The 21,831-nt window shown below is 40.2% G+C and overlaps 1 protein-coding gene across 2 annotated transcripts in view, besides 1 other annotated feature; it reads left to right on the forward strand.

Annotated features, from left to right (window-relative positions):
• LHFPL3 (LHFPL tetraspan subfamily member 3) overlaps nt 1–21,831 on the forward strand; it is a 579,959-nt gene that overhangs the window by 210,495 nt on the left and 347,633 nt on the right. The window lies entirely within an intron of this gene.
• Nucleotides 11,029–12,228: an enhancer, noted in NCBI's record as "BRD4-independent group 4 enhancer chr7:104190573-104191772 (GRCh37/hg19 assembly coordinates)". NCBI's record gives its function as "activates an origin of replication core promoter dependent on BRD2, P300/CBP, MED14 and CDK7 cofactors, and independent of BRD4, by STARR-seq in HCT116 cells {active_cell/tissue: HCT116}" and the evidence as "EXISTENCE:reporter gene assay evidence [ECO:0000049][PMID:35650434]".

Raw genomic sequence — 21,831 nt, forward strand, 5'->3', positions numbered from 1 at the left:
CCCTGTCAACACCTTGATTTTAGCCCTGTGAGGCCTGTGTCAGGCATCTGACCTCCAGAACTGTAAGATAATAAATTTGTGTTATCTTAAGCCACTAGGTATGTGATAATTTGTTATGGTAGCAATAGAAAACTAATGAAGTGGGTATTCCACGTGGAAGGAATGGAGAACCCAAAGTTAGAGACAATCCAAACACTAAATTCAGCAAATATTTACTTGTGTGAGGTCCTTTTCTACAAAGGTGAGAAGATGCTGCTGATTTGGGCCTATATAAAAACAACTCCAAAAGGTAGAATATAGTAAGCCCCTCAAGAAGTAAATTTAGTGGGGAGAAGGATTACCTCTGTTTAGGGCATAAAACTTAATACTTAATGGCTTTTTTCTACTTAATATCTTATGTTGACTTCGAAGGAATAGATTTCCAGGCAGAAATGGGTGGGAGGAGGGTATTCTGACTGGAGATATACAAAGACCCTGGGTTCAGGTCAAGGAAGAAAATAGCCTTGTCAACTCTGGTTGGGCAGGAAATGAGTGCAGTGGTTCCCAAATGCTGGTCCATAATGAAATCCTCACCAATGTTTTCCTAGAAATGAGAAAAACAGAACAATGTAGTGAGTCTTTTAACAAAGCTAGGTTCTTTTCATTTAAATTACTTTCTTTTAACCTGAGATTATGCTCTTTTCCACTTTTTTAGTATAAAAGTTACCTTTATTTAACAAAGTGATGGCATGATAGTTTTTACTGCTGCTGCTCTTGCTGTTGTTATGAAACTTTCTTATCTCACAAAATAAAAAGTTGGGAACCCTATATTGGTTTTCTTTGTGTGGGTGTGATAGGATGGAGAGGGTTCCTGATGCACGAAATGCAGAAGTCTGGAAGGCAGAGTGTTATAGGAATGGGGAAATCATAGGAAATAATGAGATCCCGCTGGAGAGTGAATGGGGAGAAACTTATTGCAATGTTTACTGCCATACTAGGAGTTTGGGCCTTAATCTCTCAATGGTAGAAAGTTAATGAATGTATTTGAAAATTCATTCAGTGATGTGCTATAGGCATTGTGCAAGATACAGTGAAATTATACGCTGTGATAGGAGAATGAGATTGTAACCTACCTTACTCAGCTAAAATCCATGGAGGAAAGTAATAAAAAAAAAACTATAATGTTGAGCATGAGATATGGTATTGAAAGTATGGTTGGTAGGGGGACAGAAAAGTCTAGAGCAACAGTTCTCAACCAAAGCTGATTTTGCCCCCCAGGTTACAGGGACATTTGGCAATGAGTGAAAATATTTTTCATTGTCATAACTAGGGATGGGGTGCTCCCAGCATCTACTGGGTACAGGCCATCCTATAATGCACAGGACAGTCCCCCACAACAAAGAATTATCTGGCCCCAAATGTCAATAGTGCCAAGGTTGAAGAACACTGGTCTGCAGAAAGTTAATTTCGATATAATAAAATAACAGGGAACTGCTATGCTTTCTGGGGTAGCGAATTGTAATTTCAATATAATGTTTGAGGAAGGAAAGAAATGAGCATTTATTGACAACTTTCTATATGTCAGGCATTCTCACATATAGTAAGTCATATTTAACCATCACAATGACCCTGAGAGTTAGTTATTATATCCCTCTTTCAGGTGGGGAAACTGAGGAAGTTTGTGATAGGCCTGTAGTCAGTCAATGGCCAACACCAGATTTGGACCTAGCCCTGTTCAATTTAATCACTCACCAAGGCCAGTCACTTATTGATTATTCTACTTCTGTCCATCCCCACTTCCACTACTTTAGCTCAAAGCCATCATTATCTGTTGCCTAGGTTACTAAATGCAACGAACTCTGCCAGCATTTTTTCTCATGGCTTCTTCCAGTTGTAGTTAGAGCTTTCTAAAGAGTACTTCTGACTTTATCACTTTTCTGCTTAAAGCCCAGATTCCAGAAGGGGTATGACAGTTCCTCTACTTCATTATGCTTCTGCTTATTTTCCATATACACATCCTCCCCATGACACACACACACACACACACACACACACACACACACACACACACAACCCTGTGGCTAACTCCTTCAGTTCCAAAGGGAGAGCTTCTCTGATCTCCAAGGCTGAATGAGGTGTCCTTCCCATGGCTCCCATGGCACCTGGGAATATCCCATCATTGCTTTTACCACCCATTGCATTAGTGGTTCACTTACTTGTCTGTCTCTTCCATTAAAATGTAAATAACTTGGGGTCAAGGACAGTGTGATTCCAGTCTACATCCTCAGCGCTAGGCACAGAGGAGGCACCAGATGATACATGTTGAGTAAGTGACTCCTGCCATCATTGTGTCTGAACAATGAGTTGGATTCAGTATTCCCCAGACACAGGAGAGCCAGATAAAAGTCCATGTTCTCCCCCTAGGTACAAGGTGATGAGGCTCTCAAGTAAGGTTTTGACCATGAGGAAGGAAAGGAAAGCTGTGAAATATGCTGCAGAAACAAGTCTCTATGGGACTTGTTGACAGATTGGCAATGTGGGAGGATGGAGCAAGATTACTGGAAAGGATTCTTAAGTGATTAAGTGTATAGCAGCAAGATGCAAAAGTTGCTCTAAATGATAATATAGTAACATGCTTCTGTACTGCAAATTCTCAGTAAATGTTGAATGAATAAACTTGAATGATTTTTTCTCTACATTTGAGAGTCATCTAAATAAAGTCCGGATGGTATTTGAAACCCTAGGAATTAATGGGATCCCCTAGGGACAAAGCCTAGCAAGGAAGAGAAAACATCCCAGGACCCAGCCCAGGGAAGCCCTAACAATGATAGGTCATTAAAGGAGGAGGACCCTGGGAAGGGGATGATAAAGCAGATGTGGAAAGATAGGAGGAAAACCCTTGACGTGAGAGCATGCTGTGAGAGCCAGGAGAGGAGGGTATTTGAAGCAAGAAGTGGGCATCTCAGTGCAGTGCTGCTGAGAGGCCAAGTAAGATAAGGGCAGAGAAGAGCTCAATTCACAGGGCTCTCCTTCCTGGCAAGCAGAAGAGCCGAGAGTGTCACTGGACACTGAGAGCAGCAGAAATGACTGCCAAAACGAGGCGTGGCTTGGGTTTTTGAGGCCCCAGTTCCAGGACCTAGTCCTAAAAGTGTTTTCTGGCCCATGAAAACCTGACCTTAAAAGTGTTTCCATTCCTTATTTAACTTTGACTTTGTTTCCCTAAGCAAGATAAAGCAATATAACTGGTGAAGACCCCTGCACTTGTCTCAGTGGTCTTAAGGATCCAGTGAATGGCTTATTTATCATCCTTCAGGGATGGGCCAGTAAGGAGTTCTCTCATCTTCTGATGAATGTAAGTAGGTGTGGGGACTGTTATCCAAAAGCCCGAGACCTTGTCACAGACTGGGGCTGCTTTTTGAGACTTCCTAAATTAGTCCTATAGAGAATATGCTCTGATACCCAATTCTATTGCTCTACCTTCCCCAAAGTGGAATCTTGGCCAAGAGACCATGAATAGACAAGTCATAGTCCTCAATAAGGCATCACTGAGATGGGATGTCTCTTCTCAGACACACCCATCGCAGGTGAGAAGTTGCTAAAACCACCCAGTGCATGGGGGGAGAGAAAAGACAATTGATGTTGCTTCCTTTTTCATCTACTTTGCCCAGTGCAAGGGCCCTTTAAAAATACCTGGTATTCATTTGACTCAGCAATCCCATTACTGAGTATATACCCAAAGGATTAGAAATCATTCTACTATAAAGATACATGCACCCGTAAGTTTATTGCAGCACTATTTACAATAGCAAAGACTTGGAACCAACCCAAATGCCCATCAGTGATAGACTGGATAAAGAAAATGTGGCACATATACACCATGGAATATTATGCAGCCATAGTAAACAATGAGTTCATGTCCATTGCAGGGACATGGATGAAGCTGGAAACCATCATCCTCAGCAAACTAACACAGGAACAGAAAACCAAACACCGCATGTTCTGACTCATTAAGTGTGAGTTGAACAATGAGAACACATGGACACAGGGAGGGGAACATCACACACTGGGGCCTGACAGGGGGTGAGGGGTCCAAGGGGAGGAAGAGCATTAGGACAAATACCTAATGCATGCAGGCCTTAACCATCTCACACCAGTTAGAATGGCGATCATTAAAAAGTCAGGAAACAACAGGTGCTGGAGAGGATGTGGAGAAATAGGAACACTTTTACACTGTTGGTGGGACTGTAAACTAGTTCAACCATTGTGGAAGTCAGTGTGGTGATTCCTCAGGGATCTAGAACTAGAAATACCATTTGACCCAGCCATCCCATTACTGGGTATATACCCAAAGGATTATAAATCATGCTGCTATAAAGACACATGCACACGTATATTTACTGCGACACTATTCAGAATAGCAAAGACTTGGAACCAACCCAAATGTCCAACAATGATAGACTGGATTAAGAAAATGTGGCACATATACACCATGGAATACTATGCAGCCATAAAAAATGAAGAGTTCATGTCCTTTGTAGGGACACGGATGAAACTGGAAACCATCATTCTCAGCAAACTATCGCAAGGACAAAAAAACCAAACACCACATGTTCTCACTCATAGGTGGGAATTGAACAATGGGAGCACATGGACACAGGAAGGGGAACATCACACTCTGGGGTCTGTTGTGGGGTGGGGGGAGGGGGGAGGGATAGCATTAGGAGATATACCTAATGCTGTATGATGAGTTAACGGGTGCAGCACACCAACATGGCACATGTATACATATGTAACAAACCTGCACATTGTGCACATGTACCCCAAAATATAATAATAATAATAATAATAATAATAATAAAACCTAGATGACAGGTTGATAGGTGCAGCAAACCACCATGGCACACGTATACCTATGTGACAAACCTGCATGTTCTGCACATGTATCCCAGAACTTAAAGTAAAATTAAAAAAAAAAAAAGCTGGTATTAGGAGTTTGCAATTCATTCAACTCATAAAAGTGAATGCCTGATTTTAATTATTCTAACTAACCTAGGTGCTATTCAGAGTAAATGGAATTCAGTATAATATATTCCAAATGCTTATCGTCATAAAACCTCACTAATAACTGGATTTTCAGTCCCTTTCAGTAATTATTCCAATGAATTTTAAGATTCCATTTTTAGTAAATGAAAATAACTCCAATAGTACACTCATATTCATAGGTTTTGGGGGAAAATCTGTATGGCCCCATAGCCATCTCAGGATATAAGCTAACCACTAGCACAAGACACTTTGTGTAACAAGTGGTGATTAGGCAAACACCCACATGATTATAATTTGCCTTCACAAAGACAAAAATTTGAAACATTATGGGGTTAGATGCAGTTTCATGAGACATCTGTTGTCCTCTCCCTTAGAAATGTAACATTTTCTTCTCCAGTTAATCCCAAACCTTGAAGTCATTTCTCTTTCAGTTCTTTCTAGGGCAACCAGGACTTTTCATTGAGCAGTGGTGGTGAGTGTAGCTCAGCATCAGCAAAGAGATCTCTTCCCTAAGATAGAAAGAGTCCATCCCATAGGTCAGTTCCTCTCCACTCAGCCCTTCATAGTGCATCTCTATATATCTGCAAAGATGATTTTTTTAAGAAAATGGGTGTATTTTTATATGGTAAGTAGAAAATGATTTGGGGGAAAAGGGGAATGTACAATTGTAGAATTCTTCAAAATCACAAGTCCTTTTCCTGCCCCTCACTAGAAATTGAGCTGTTACAAAGCTGACCCCGGAGAAACAAAGAAGTTATCTTTTAGCCTTTTGGAAAAGTATCTGGCTTAATTAAGAACAATGTCATTTGAGTCTCAAATTTAGGATTTTTGGATTAGGTGCATTAGATAAAACCTGACAGTTTTTTCGTAAGGATTTATGCCAAAATGGGTACTTGCACATCTCGTCTTGAATTCAAAGCTTTGTGTCTTTTCCCCTCCTAATATGCTCTCAGATCATTTTTGCCTTTGAATGTTGTCCAATTACTTATTTGGTTTGATTAGGGCCAACTGACTAACAAGAAAATCATTCCCACTTACATTATTCCTATAAAATACATGCTTCTCCACAATCACTACCTTAGTATCCTCATATTTCTCTAGCTTTGTTATATATCACTGAAGACAGGAAGGCCAAATTATCAAATAGACCTCACCATATGGCATCAGCCCAGCACAGCTTCCTGGTTGTTTCACCTCTGAATAGGCTATTCTGGACCTTCTCTCTAATGTCCACCCCTGCCAATTTCCATCTCCCAGAATCATTCCCAGGTTCCTGCACTCGTCTAGTGCTGGCCTTCAGGAAATATCCAAATTTATTACCAGGCAGATTTTCTGCATCTTTGCCCTGTTTGCTTGAATTACAGTATAAAGAAGGGCTCTGATACCACAGGGCAGTGTGAAGAAGGGCTCTGATCCTCAGAGGACAGTATGAAGAAGGGCTTTGATCCCTATGGGCTTTCCTCCAGGTGAGTTTGTTCTGATTGGCTCCAGTAGAGCACTGTGCGATCTATCACCTCCTCTTCAATTGCTATGTGCAACCCCTTGAGATGCTCCTGTGCAGAAGGTGAGAGCAGGAACGTAGTCTAGCCATTTTCATCCTTCAAACCACCAATTCCTTTCTACCATCCTTCAAAGGCTCCCATAATTGGAGCTCACTGCTTTAGCAAATCTATTTGAAAAGTTGAAGAGCAAAAAAACTGCTCTATCAGTCTTCATGGGTCAGCATCCTGCCTCCACCAAGCCTGCTTTCCAGATGGAGCATTGCACAATAGTCAAGCATCTCTCTCTTCTGCAAGGTATAGAGATGCATTTTCCCTTTCTATCTCTGCTTTTGTGAATATGTCCAGACACTAAAATTTAAAGAATTGTTGGCTGCCTATGAGCTTACTGTGAACTAAAGATCTTACAAATAATAGTTGCCAAAAAAAATGGAGGAAATTCTGGCCTGGTATCAGCAAACTAAATTTTTGTCTCAGAATCTAGTTCTGAGCTATTGAGCCATGCTGATGTAATGACATAAATAGTTTAACTAACTTTCTGACAAGACTGTATTTAGAGGATCTTTAATAGATGTATGCTGTTTGCATCCTGACTTTGAAAGAAATATCCCAGGGAAACAACCATAGAATTTGATTTAATACCTCACTTGTAGTTTGTATTTAATTGTAAATTCTAGTGGAAATACATGAATCCATAGCAATATATTTAATCTAGCACCTTCAGATCAGTTAAACTAATTTATCTTTAAAATTCCCTTGATACATAGCCAAGACTCCTTGCCAACTATTTATTAACCACACATTGTGTAGTGAAGGTTCATAAAGCACTAGATAACAAATGTAACTTTGTGGAGGGAAAAGACAAAAAGACACTCAAAAGAAAGTCAGATAATGAAACTAATACTTGGGATGAAAACTGCTCTCTTAAGGAAGGAGTCCCTCATTGTAATGTGAGTGACAGTGTTTAATTCATTGTAGTACAAATTGTTACTATTGCTAATGTTCTTAATATAGCACATTAAATTAAAGAGTCACTGTAGCTGTACAAAATCATATAGAGAGCTCACCACTTTCAATTAATTCGGGGATCCTCCCAAGGCTGCATAACTGAGCTGGGAGAGTTCTTCCTTTGTCACTGGAGACCTGGGTTGAAATCCTGGAGACCTGGGTTCAAATGGCTTGCTGTGAGAAAGTTACATGACCTTGAACATTACTCTGAGCCAGTTTTCTCTTCTGTAAAATGAGAATAATCATCTAAGCCTGTTAATGGGATTTAGGAGAAAATGTAAGGTTTCTAGCACAAATGTTAACAAGCTCTTAAGAAATAGTAGCTCAAGGCCGGGCGCGGTGGCTCACGCCTGTAATCCCAGCACTTTGGGAGGCCGAGGCGGGTGGATCATGAGGTCAGGAGATCGAGACCATCCTGGCTAACAAGGTGAAACCCCGTCTCTACTAAAAATACAAAAAATTAGCCGGGCGCGGTGGCGGGCGCCTGTAGTCCCAGCTACTCGGGAGGCTGAGGCAGGAGAATGGCGTGAACCCGGGAAGCGGAGCTTGCAGTGAGCCGAGATTGCGCCACTGCAGTCCGCAGTCCGGCCTGGGCGACAGAGCGAGACTCCGTCTCAAAAAAAAAAAAAAAAAAAAAAAAAAAAGAAATAGTAGCTCAAAATATGTATAATCAACAATAATTAATCATCCTACTTCTAAGTGGAATTAATGTATTCATCTGTCAGTGTAGATAGTTGCATTGGTTACTTCAAAACACTCGAGGGGTAGAGGGTAGTTCTTTTTCAGTAGAGCAGTATATTCCAGGGGTTGAAATCTGGGCTTGGGACCACGAGAATTATAGAGTATGAGTAATCAATAGTGATGTAGTCCAGGGTGATCCTTGAGGTTGCAGTCAATTAATATAAAAGCAGTTTTAATATAAAACTTTAATATAAAAGCAGCTTTCGTGCATGTGTATCCTATATAAGTCATGGTTGCTGATGATGGCAGAGGCAGACTGGGTTCTCCAGCTGTCCAGAGAGCCATGTTTCTGTACCCTATTCTCAGGTTTAGAAAACTTCCAGACAGCACATGAGCCCACCACTTCATGGCCCTTTCTCATAGCAAAAGGCATGAAAAATAGGAGAATGAAATAGAGATGTATGCTCTTCCAAGTTTTAGGGACCAGACAAGCTTTCAGAAGGAATATTTTGGCCATTCCCACCTCAGTTTTCGTTTACATCAAATGTGTCTAGTGAAAGGTAATATGATGACCAGCTATAGTTTCAAATTTTTAGAAAATAAAAATCTTTTCATTTGATCTCACAGTAAATATCATCAAGTACAAGTTAGATCTCACCTATTCTAAGTCTGGGAGGAAGTGGTACAATAGAACATGATTTTTCCAACATGCATCTAGGCAAATATGACAATATGCACAATTAATTAATACTTAAAGATTAAAAGCTGGATACATTTTTAAAGTGTTATCTTATCCTGATCAATATTTTTGTCTTATGTTTAAACAAAATATGAAGCAAAATGTCTGAAACCAAAATTCTTTAACCATGAAATTTTCTTTCAGATAATGAATGCAGTTTTCCTCTCTGTCTTGATTTCTTGTTTTATTTTAAACATGTGTTCTCCAGTTGCATGTGTGTACACAAGCACATAAATAGTTCTGTGTTCAATAAAATGAAAGTAAGAGAAAAAAAGTAACAAATGGAGAGTTTGAGTAAACAGCAATCCATATACATCCTAAATTGATTTTTAAAATTGGGGATTTTAAAAATTAAATGGGATAAAGTTACAGTATTTCTTACACATTCTAGATGATTTACAAAGTTTATTTGCCATCAAGTTCCACGTCTTGCAAGGAAATTAACTGGATTTCTAGCCAACAATCTGATTGGAAGATTCTTGGGATATACTTTATCCCCTTAAAATAGAGTATTATATAAACAAATACGAAATAAAGATGGAACGAAATAAAGAACTTTTTGCTGGAGAAAAATACGTTCTCTAAATACACCACTAAGAATCCCTGTCAAGGAGGGCTATAGCTTGGCCAACCCTGGATTTGTTAGCCAGCCCAGGTGAGTGTCAGGAATGAGGTACTTACCTCCCCTTTCTGTATCTTTCTATGAAAGAGACACAAAACAATGGTCCTCAATAAGTCAGAGCACAAGTACTAACAGCCAACTATGAACCAGCCTAGGGAGGATTTGAGGCAACTGCCATTGTTTCTGCCTCAAGGACCCTTCAGCCTGGCTCCCTGCACAAAACAACAGGACCACAGCTTGGTACATGTGTTTTAAATGTGTTTTGATTGAAATGTGTAGCCTCTAAGGGATTCTTTGGGCAGAATTTCAGTCAGGAAATATGTGGGAGAAATGGACATTACTTCAACTCTGAAGAATCCAGTAATTGGACTTGTGGAGAAAAGGGACCTCTACAGGTTGAGATAGGAATTTATAAAACTTGAACAGGAAGTAATGAAGGAACCTGGTACGCTGGTGGAGAAAGGAGTAAATAGCAAATATGACTTTAAAAGTAATGGGAAAGTCCACACTCCGTGCAGTAACCAGGAGGGCTGCTGAAGATTCCAGACCAGGATAGAGGCTAAGAGACTAACTTCTCTCTTCTCTCTCCATATGCACACATACATATATATATGTTCTCACGACAATCTGAGAATATATATATATATATATCAGTGTTACGCACATGGTAAATATTATTGATTAGGACAAATAATCATAATTCATTGAAATAGGGCTAAAGGAATCAGTAGCCTATTATTTTTTTGAGCTATGCTCCTTTTGGCACATGCCCTTAACCCAACACACACACACACACACACACACACACACACACACACACACTTATGTATACACTGCATTATAATTTGCTATGCACTTCCTCTACCCAAATATGTGTTGGAGTGGTAGGGACCCACAAGGGACATTTCTGTCAAGATTTTGCTTTTATAATTGGCAGATAACAAGGAGGAAGACATGAGATAAGAGAACAAAAATTATAACAACTTTGAGTAACCTTCTGAAGATATCTATTACGTGGTGAGGAACGTTTTGCTTAACATCTGTGTTCCTATATCTATCTGGGGACCTTGCTTATTTATAATTCAACTTATTATGTTGAGTGGGCACTGGGGATACATTGATGAGGGACAGAGCCCCTGTGCTCCTGAAGCTTGCAGAAGGAGGACAGAGATGTTAACCAATAAATATGATATGCTAGCTGTAATATCATAGAACTGTAAAAGGTACAGCAGAGGCCAAAGGGAAGGGGCAATTGTATTAGTCAGGGCTCTCTAGAGGAACAGAGCCAATAGGATGTGTGTACAGAGGGAGATTGATTTATTTTAAGGAATTGGCTCACACAGTTACGGAGGCTGAAAAATCCAAATCTGCAGGACGAGCCAGCAGACAAGAGACCTAGAAAAGAGTCCGTTTTGCAGATTGAACCTAAAAGTGGCCTACTGCAGAAACCCTTTTTGCTTGGAGAAGGTCAGTCTTTGTTCTACTAAGGCTTCCAAAAAATTGGATGATGCTCACCCACATTAGGAATTTGCTTTACTCAAAGTCCACCAATTTAAATAATAATCTCATCCAAAAAACACCATCACAGAAACATCCAGAATAATGCCTGACCAAATACCTGGGCACCATGGCCCAACTAGGTAGACACATAAAGTTAACCATCACAGCAGTCATTTTTGTTCTGGGGAGAAGAATAGAGAGTGGGATGGGGCTGTCAGGCGGTGGGATGATTGGAGGAAATGACAGTTCCAGGGCAAGGAGGAGACCACAGGCAATGTGGGAAAGGACACTCTGTCCAAAGGCAACCATTACATCATGAGTCATCTGAAAAGCCACAGAATACATGAGAGGAAAAAGGTGGAAGAGAAGCTGGAAATGTAATAATCGGCCAGAAAATGAAGAGCCTTGATTGCACCACAAAGGGGTTTTGGACTTTCTCCCAAAAGCCATGATGAGTCACTGGAGTTTTCAGCAGCAGAGTATCCCAGTCAATTGCGCATGTTAGGAAGGTCACCCTGACCTCTGTTCTTCCCAAACAGCATAAGATTACCAGCTCCATTGAAACCTATGAAAATGATTTGCATTTCTTAGAGAAAATATAGACTAGGGGAACATAACATCATTTTTATGATTTTAAACAGTGAGAAATTATTCTAGATTTTCCTTTAAAGTTATTTGTATAAGAAGTTATAGTTGTCCTTGATACTTCTTTTTTTCAGCCACACACTTCATAAAGAATGAAATCCCTTCAAACAATCTTCTTATCTTCCAAACAGTATGAAAGCCTCCCAAAATTTTCCAGAGCTCTCCTTGCTCTCTCTCACCAGGTTATATTTAGCTCAGCTATAGACCTTGACCTTTTCAATAGACTGCAAGACACAATGCGCTAATCAGAACATTTCTTAATAGACTTCAATGAGGTTCATGGCCCCAAACTCATCCTTGTGTACACACACACACACACACACACACTTCATGTTTGCGAGCATTTTATAAAAAAACAACTATTAAGTTGATTCAGGGGAAGATATTTTATCATTCTGCTAACAAAATGGGCTTTAAATAGGCTTTATTTCTTTGAGCTTAGGGAAAAGAATAGATTTGCATTTCTTCCTTTCTTAGGAAATTTTTCTGTTTGAATAATGTTGGCATATTTCCATTTGCTGTAAATCTTACCTTGAATAGCTCTCCGTGGGTTCTCTTTCTCTAGTATGGCTTGGTTTGCAGGCAGGATCTGTATGCAAAGACTGACATGCAGAGGTGTGGAGTGCAGTGTTCTTCTTAGGAACATGAACTCTTCCCTTTTTTTCTGCCCTTCCACCCCTCCCTTGGCTGCCTCTGCTTCTGTGGACTGACTTTGAGGTCTCTATCATGTTATCAAGGTATTTTGAACACAGAATAATTTATTCACAAATGCCTTCACTATATTATTTATTATAGTATTAATAGTAATAATAGTTACAGTGCCAGTGACAGAGTGGAAAACCAGGCATGTTCTCCTGGCCCTTGGCAACAACCACTCAAAAAGATTAGCCTAAATTTGGCCATCCTACTTAAATTAAAGATATTGGTGATTCTTAGAAATAAGAATAGAAGAAAACTAAATAATTATGGAAATGCTGGATAGTTCTCCCAGGGAGAAGCAGGAGAACGGAGGGAAAGACACCATTTGAAGCACAATCTACAAGAGGAGATCCTTATTTTTCAGCAACTTGGACATCTGGTCATTTACTTGTTTCATGGTGTGCTCTGCTTATCAGCCATCCTCTTCTCTCTAAAACTTTCAGTGTTGCGGCCTACTACCTCCAGCCTGCTTCTGTGGAGGACTACCTCAAACCTTGTTGGCCCTTGTTCAGAGAAGTGGCCTGGCTGGGTTCGATTTCATACTTATAGCTACATGCCTTGGGCAAGTTACTTAATCTCCCTGTGCCTTGATTTCCTAATCTGTAAAACCCTGCCTAGACCAGAGCCATAGGTTCTAAAAGCCACTGGGCTTAAAGGAGTCTTCAGCAGCATCAAAGACGCACCAGGCAGCAACCAAGTGAGCAAGGCATGAGCCACATAACCAAGATGTGCAGGAATAAACACTGGTAGCAAGACCAACGCCTAGTGACTGGGTTTAGACGTGTCAGCACCATGGACAGCTCAACGTGAGCAGGAATGTAGCCTTTCTAATAAGGGAGGGTTCACTTCCTGACTTATTACTATAGCCATTTCCTCCTAATTAATTAGAGCTCAGTGGATTTGCAAGGAGACTAGAGTGTCACCCTGTTCATGGTTGGGCTATTTGAGACCTTCTAATCTGCAGAGACATTGCAAGGGTCCTGTGAGAAGGATTTAGATTTCCTAGGGGTGGGGTAAAAATGGGAAGGCATCTCTTACTTCCCTCAGAATAATCATCTTTGGGAATCACCATTGCTTTTGAGTTAAACAATAGGGATCTGAATCAGGGTTGGAGTTTTAGCAGGAATACATTCAGTTCTTGGCCATTCCTAAGATAGTGCATGAATTACCTGTAATTAATCCCTGTCATGAAATGTGTATATATGTAAATTTTATAATGGAAATATTTTAAGTGTAGAGGATTTTTAAGCTTGCTGATTGTAATTTACAGAATCCAATGAAGAAAATTGCTATCTCCTAATTTTCTTATTTTTAAATCAGGATTTCTTAAATCTGGAAATAGAAAGTAGGAATTAAGCTCATGGGTGCAGACCCTAGTTCTGCCTTTTACTAGTTGTGTGACCTTGGCATGTTACTTAATTTCTTCATGTTTCAGTTTTTACTCTTTAAATGAGGATAGGAGTGGTACATATTTTATAGTGTTACTAAGATTGCATGTGCTAATATCCATAAAGCCCTTAGAGTGCTGCCTCATTGATAACATGTATTATGATTATGATTTTTTTATTATGTTTCTTTGTTGTAAGGTACTCTTCACACCTTCAGCTCAGAGTTACTGCAGCTTTCTACATGTTATTTTGATCTTGAATCTAAAATAAGAATGCAGATCTGCTTTTATAGATGTTTTGCAATATCCTTTCCCAAGAGAAACAACATTTCACATTCTTAGAGTTCACACCCTTTGAATTGAAGCCAGGATTTGGCCTTCAGATTAATAACTAGGGCAGAAGGCAGCCCACAGCAACTGTACTGTAAGGCACAAAAATATGCTCTTCTCTGCTGCTTTACCACCTTTCCATTTTAATAAAAAGTTATAAAGAGTCTAACATCCTCAACCTAAATAGAGTTAGGACCATCTTTTGTTGCCTAACATGGGAGGAGGGAATGACTTGAACCACTTGCCACCTTTGTAATCTCTAAGCACTTTCCAGAAAAATTTTTAACCCTAGCTCTCTTGGTTGGGTATGAAACTGCCTCTAGGTCCAGTAAATTTAGGAATATGAATCTAAAATGCAAGCAGTTTAAACTCATCTATTTCCCATTTCTCTTTTCAGTTGAACTTTTCTTTTGCTGTGCCTTACCGATTTACATTACAGTCCTCAGGAGCCTTAAGGCAACTTACAGATTAAAACCACAGAATATTGAGATCACTTCACACCCTACAAATAAGCAAGTCCCCTCTTTTGCCATACTAACATCCCAGCTGTTATTGACATTTCATGCTGAGAAGTAAACACTGAAACTTAATTAGTCCAGGCCCAGAGGAATCCTTCTTTTGCAATAACTAGTGTCTGGCTAGACTAGAGGCTCAGGTGTTGGCTGTGTGAATGTGAGTTATTGTAGATTGTGAAGTCAGAGTCATTCTGATTTATCCCTTCTCTCAGTGATCGCTCATGATGTCTCTGTCCCAAAGTGCTTCCCAAGCACGTGATACCCCAGATTCTTCATGATGTGACTTTTTCCTGGCTGATGACAATTTGTCAGTAAAGAACTTCCGATCTTTTGTACACTGCTTTATATTGCCTGTCAATATTAAAATGAATCATCCTTGTCTCTTTTATTTTGACAAACAGCTCAATATTTTTGGTGGCAGGGCTGGTTCCTTGTGTTTGCTTGTTTTGCTTTTTTGTGGATTTGTTTGTTGGCATCCTCTTCCTAATCTCAGTTAATTCAACATTCTTGTCTTCATTTAGGAAATGGATTATAATAATGTTATAATTATTTTCATTAATATTTATTTTTCTTATGCATTCTAGATGATTTGCAAAATTTATTTGCCATCAAGTTCCACATCTTGCAAGGAAATTAACTGGATTTCCAGCCAACAATCTGATTGGAAGATTTTTGGGATATACTTTATCCCCTTCAAATAGAGTATTATATAAACAAATATGAATAAATGTGAATTAATAAATTAGCTCGTGTTATAGACTAAATGTGTGAGTCCCCCAAAACTTCATGTTGCTATCCTAATCCCTAATGTGATGGTATTAGGAGATGGGGCCTTGGAAAGTATATTAGTCAGAATTCCCCACAGAGGCAGAACTAATAGGATAGATTAGATAGACAGATAGATAGATAGATAGATAGATAGATAGATAGATAGATAGATAGATAGACAGACAGATGATGAGAGGGGATTTATTATGGAAATTGGCTTATGCAATTATGAAGGCTGAGAAGTCCCACAATAGGCTGTCTGTAAGCTGGAAGCCCAGGGAAGACAATAGTCCAAGTCCAAAGCCTCAGAACCAGAGGAGCCAATGGTATAACTCTCAGTCCAACCCTGAAGGCCTGAGAACACAGGGGGACCACTAGTGAAAGTCCCAGAGTCAGAAGGCTGGAGAACCTGGAGTTCTGATGTTCAAGGGCAAGAGAAGATGGTGTCCCAGCTCCAGGAGAAAGGAAGAGAGCAAATTCACATTTCCTCTGCCTTTTGGTTTTATCCAGGCTCCCAGGTGACTGGATGGTGCCTTCTCACACTGAGGGCATATCTTGCCTACTCAGTCCACCAACTCACCTGCCATTCTCCTCTAGAAACACCCTCACAGACACACCCAGAAATGACGCTTTCCCAGCTATCTAGGTATCCATTAAGCCAGTTAAGTTCACACTTAAAATTAACCATCACAAAAGGTGATTAGGTCATAAGGTGATTAACCATCACAAAAGGTGATTAGCCCTCATTAATGGGATTTGTACCCTTATAAAAGAGAACCCAGAGAGCATCTGTATTAGTCCGTTTTCACACTGTTTATAAAGACAAATCTAAGACTGGGAAGAAAAAGAGTTTTAATAGACTTATAGTTCCACATGGCTGGGGAGGCCTCACAATCATGGCAGAAGGCAAGGAGGAGCAAGTCACATCTTACATGGATGGCGGCAGGCAAAGAGAGAGACTGTGCAAGAAACTCCCACTTTTAAAACCATCAGATCTCATGAGACTCATTCACTATCACAAGAACAGCACAGGAAAGACCCGCCCCCAAAATTCAATCACCTCTCATCGGGTTCCTCCCACAACATGTGAGAATTGTGGTAGTTACAATTCAAGATGAGATTTGGGTGGGGACACAGGCAAACCATATTATTCCACACCTGGCTTCCCAAATCTCATGTCCTCACATTTCAAAACCAGTCATGTCTTCTCAACAGTCTCCCAAAGTCTTAACTCACTCCAGCATTAACTCAGAAATCCACAGTCCAACATCTCACCTGAGACAAAGCAAGTCCCTTCCACCTATGAGCCTGTAAAATCAAAACCAAGTTAGTTACTTCCTAGATATAATGGGGGTACAGGCATTACAACCATTCCAAATGGGAGAAATTGACCAAAACAAAGGGGCTACAGGCCCCATGCAAGTCCAGAATCCAGCAGGGCAGTAAAATCTTAAAGCTCCAAAATGATCTCCTTTGACTCCATGTCTCACATCCAGGTCACACTGATGCAAGAGGTGGGCTCCCATGGCCTTAGGCAGATCTGCCCCTGTGGCTTTTCAGGGTATAGCCTGCTTCTAGCTGCTTTCATGGGCTGGTGTTGAGTGTCTGTGGCTTTTCCAAGCTCATGGTGCAGGCTGCCAGTGGATCTACTATTCTAGGGTCTGGAGGACATTGGCCCTCTTCTCACAGCTCCACTAGGCAGTGCCCCAGTAAGGAATCTGTGGGGGAGCTCTGGCACCATATTTCCCTTCCACACTGCCCTAGCAGAGGTTCTCCATGAGGGTCCCCCCCCTGCAGCAAACTCTGCCTGGGCATCCAGGTGTTTCCATATATCCTCTGAAATCTAGGCAGAGGTTCCCAAACCTCAATTCTTGACTTCTGTGCACCCACAGGCTCAATACCATGTGGAAGCTACCAAGGCTTGGAGGTTCCACCCTTTGAAGCAACAGCCTAAACTGTACCTTGGCCCCTTTTAGTCACTCACAGCTGGAGTGGCTGGGATACGGTCAAGTCCCTAGACTGTATACAGCAGAGGCACCCTGGGCCCAGCCCACAAAACCATTTTTCCTCCTAAACCTCCACTTCTGTGATGGGGAGGTGCTGCTGCAAAGGTTTCTGACATGCCCTGGAGACATTTTCCCCATTGTCTTGGTGATTAACATTTGGTTCCTGATTACTTACACAAGTTTCTGCAGCCAGTTTGAATTTCTTCTCAGAAAATGAGATTTTCTTTAACATCACATTGTCAGACTGCAAATTTTTCAAACTTTTATGCTCTGTTTCCCTTTTAAAACCGAATGCCTTTAACAGAAACCAAGTCATCTCTTGAATGCTTTGCTGCTTAGAAATTTCTTCCACCAGATACCCTAAATCATCTTTCTCAAGTTCAAAGTTCCACAAATCTCTAGGGCAGGAGCAGAATGCCCCAGTCTCTTTGCTAAAACATAGCAAGAGCCACCTTTGCTCCAGTTTCCAATGAGTTTCTCATCTCCATCTGAGACCACTTCAGCCTGAATGTCATTGTCCATATTATTATCAACATTTTGGTCAAAGCCCTTCAACAAGTTTCTAGAGAGTTCCAAACTTTCCAACATTTGACTGTTTTCTTCTAAGCCCTCCAAACTCTTCCAATCTCTGCCTTGTTCCCAGTTCCAAAGTCGCTTTCACATTTTCAGGTATCTTTTCAGCAACACCCCACTCTACTGGTACCAATTTACTGTGTTAGTCATTTTTCACACTGTTGATAAAGACATACCCAAAACTGAGAAGAAAAAGAGGTTTAATGGACTTACAGTTCCACATAGCTGGGGAGGCCTCACAATCATGGCAGAAGGCAAGGAGGATCAAGTCACGTTTTACATGGATGGCAGCAGGCAAAGAGAGAGATTGTGCAAGGAAACTGTCATTTTTAAAACCATCAGATCTTGTGGGACTCATTCACTATCATGAGAACATGAGAACAGCGCAGGAAAGACCCACCCACATAATTCAATCATCTCACACAGCATTTCTCCCACAACACATGGGAATTGTGGGAGTTACAATTCAAGATGAGATTTGGGTGGGAATACAGCCAAACCATATCAGCATCCCTGCCTGTTTCACCATGGAAGAATACAGCAAGGAGACTTTAATCTGTTTTTTATTTTTTATTTTTATTTTTATTTTTTTATTTTTTATTATACTTTAAGTTTTAGGGTACATGTGCACATTGTGCAGGTTAGTTACATATGTATACATGTGCCATGCTGGTGCGCTGCACCCACTAACTCATCATCTAGCATTAGGTATATCTCCCAATGCTATCCCTCCCCACTCCCCCCACCCCACCACAGTCCCCAGAGTGTGATATTCCCCTTCCTGTGTCCATGTGATCTCATTGTTCAATTCCCACCTATGAATGAGAATATGCGGTGTTTGGTTTTTTGTTCTTGCGATAGTTTACTGAGAATCATGATTTCCAATTTCATCCATGTCCCTACAAAGGACATGAACTCATCATTTTTTATGGCTGCATAGTATTCCATGGTGTATATGTGCCACATTTTCTTAATCCAGTCTATCACTGTTGGACATTTGGGTTGGTTCCAAGTCTTTGCTATTGTGAATAATGCCGCAATAAACATACGTGTGCATGTGTCTTTATAGCAGCATGATTTATAGTCCTTTGGGTATATACCCAGTAATGGGATGGCTGGATCAAATGGTATTTCCAGTTCTAGATCCCTGAGGAATCGCCACACTGACTTCCACAATGGTTGAACTAGTTTACAGTCCCACCAACAGTGTAAAAGTGTTCCTATTTCTCCACATCCTCTCCAGCACCTGTTGTTTCCTGACTTTTTAATGATTGCCATTCTAACTGGTGTGAGATGGTATCTCATTGTGGTTTTGATTTGCATTTCTCTGATGGCCAGTGATGATGAGCATTTTTTCATGTGTTTTTTGGCTGCACAAATGTCTTCTTTTGAGAAGTGTCTGTTCATGTCATTCGCCCACTTTTTGATGGGGTTGTTTGTTTTTTTCTTGTAAATTTGTTTGAGTTCATTGTAGATTCTGGATATTAGCCCTTTGTCAGATAAGTAGGTTGCGAAAATTTTCTCCCGTTTTGTAGGTTGCCTGTTCACTCTGATGGTAGTTTCTTTTGCTGTGCAGAAGCTCTTTAGTTTAATTAGATCCCATTTGTTAATTTTGGCTTTTGTTGCCATTGCTTTTGGTGTTTTAGACATGAAGTCCTTGCCCATGCCTATGTCCTGAATGGTATTGCCTAGGTTTTCTTCTAGGGTTTTTATGGTTTTAGGTCTAACGTTTAAGTCTTTAATCCATCTTGAATTGATTTTTGTGTAAGGTGTAAGGAAGGGATCCAGTTTCAGCTTTCTACATATGGCTAGCCAGTTTTCCCAGCACCATTTATTAAATAGGGAATCCTTTCCCCATTGCTTGTTTTTGTCAGGTTTGTCAAAGATCAGATAGTTGTAGATATGTGGCGTTATTTCTGAGGGCTCTGTTCTGTTCCATTGATCTATATCTCTGTTTTGGTACCAGTACCATGCTGTTTTGGTTACTGTAGCCTTTCAGTGTAGTTTGAAGTCAGGTAGTGTGATGCCTCCAGCTTTGTTCTTTTGGCTTAGGATTGACTTGGCGATGCGGGCTCTTTTTTGGTTCCATATGAACTTTAAAGTAGTTTTTTCCAATTCTGTGAAGAAAGTCATTGGTAGCTTGATGGGGATGGCATTGAATCTGTAAATTACCTTGGGCAGTATGGCCATTTTCACAATATTGATTCTTCCTACCCATGAGCATGGAATGTTCTTCCATTTGTTTGTATCCTCTTTTATTTCGTTGAGCAGTGGTTTGTAGTTCTCCTTGAAGAGGTCCTTCACATCCCTTGTAAGTTGGATTCCTAGGTATTTTATTCTCTTTGAAGCAATTGTGAATGGGAGATCACTCATGATTTGGCTCTCTGTTTGTCTGTTGTTGGTGTATAAGAATGCTTGTGATTTTTGTACATTGATTTTGTATCCTGAGACTTTGCTGAAGTTGCTTATCAGCTTAAGGAGATTTTGGGCTGAGACGATGGGGTTTTATAGATATACAATCATGTCATCTGCAAACAGGGACAATTTGACTTCCTATTTTCCTAACTGAATACCCTTTATTTCCTTCTCCTGCCTAATTGCCCTGGCCAGAACTTCCAACACTATGTTGAATAGGAGTGGTAAGAGAAGGCATCCCTGTCTTGTGCCAGTTTTCAGAGGGAATGCTTCCAGTTTTTGCCCATTCAGTATGATATTGGCTGTGGGTTTGTCATAGATAGCTCTTATTATTTTGAAATACGTCCCATCAATACCTAATTTATTGAGAGTTTTTAGCATGAAGGTTGTTGAATTTTGTCAAAGGCTTTTTCTGCATCTATTGAGATAATCATGTGGTTTTTGTCGTTGGTTCTGTTTATATGCTGGATTACATTTATTGATTTGCGTATATTGAACCAGCCTTGCATCCCAGGGATGAAGCCCACTTGATCATGGTGGATAAGCTTTTTGATGTGCTGCTGGATTCCGTTTGCCAGTATTTTATTGAGGATTTTTGCATCAATGTTCATCAAGGATATTGGTCTAAAATTCTCTTTTTTTGTTGTGTCTCTGCCCGGCTTTGGTATCAGAATGATGCTGGCCTCATAAAATGAGTTAGGGAGGATTCCCTCTTTTTCTATTGATTGGAATAGTTTCAGAAGGAATGGTACCAGTTCCTCCTTGTACCTCTGGTAGAATTCGGCTGTGAATCCATCTGGTCCTGGACTCTTTTTGGTTGGTAAGCTATTGATTATTGCCACAATTTCAGATCCTGTTATTGGTCTATTCAGAGATTCAACTTCTTCCTGGTTTAGTCTTGGGAGAGTGTATGTGTCCAGGAATTTATCCATTTCTTCTAGATTTTCTAGTTTATTTGCGTAGAGGTGTTTGTAGTATTCCCTGATGGTAGTTTGTATTTCTGTGGGATCGGTGGTGATATCCCCTTTATCATTTTTTATTGCGTCTATTTGATTCTTCTCTCTTTTTTTCTTTATTAGTCTTGCTAGCGGTCTATCAATTTTGTTGATCCTTTCAGAAAACCAGCTCTTGGATTCATTAATTTTTTTGAAGAGTTTTTTGTGTCTCTATTTCCTTCAGTTCTGCTCTGATTTTAGTTATTTCTTGCCTTCTGCTAGCTTTTGAATGTGTTTGCTCTTGCTTTTCTAGTTCTTTTAATTGTGATGTTAGGGTGTCAATTTTGGATCTTTCCTGCTTTCTCTTGTGGGCATTTAGTGCTATAAATTTCCCTCTACACATTGCTTTGAATGCGTCCCAGAGATTCTGGTATGTTGTGTCTTTGTTCTCGTTGGTTTCAAAGAACATCTTTATTTCTGCCTTCAT

The sequence above is a fragment of the Homo sapiens genome, chromosome 7 (genome assembly GCF_000001405.40).
Source record: "Homo sapiens chromosome 7, GRCh38.p14 Primary Assembly".
NCBI lineage: Eukaryota > Metazoa > Chordata > Mammalia > Primates > Hominidae > Homo > Homo sapiens.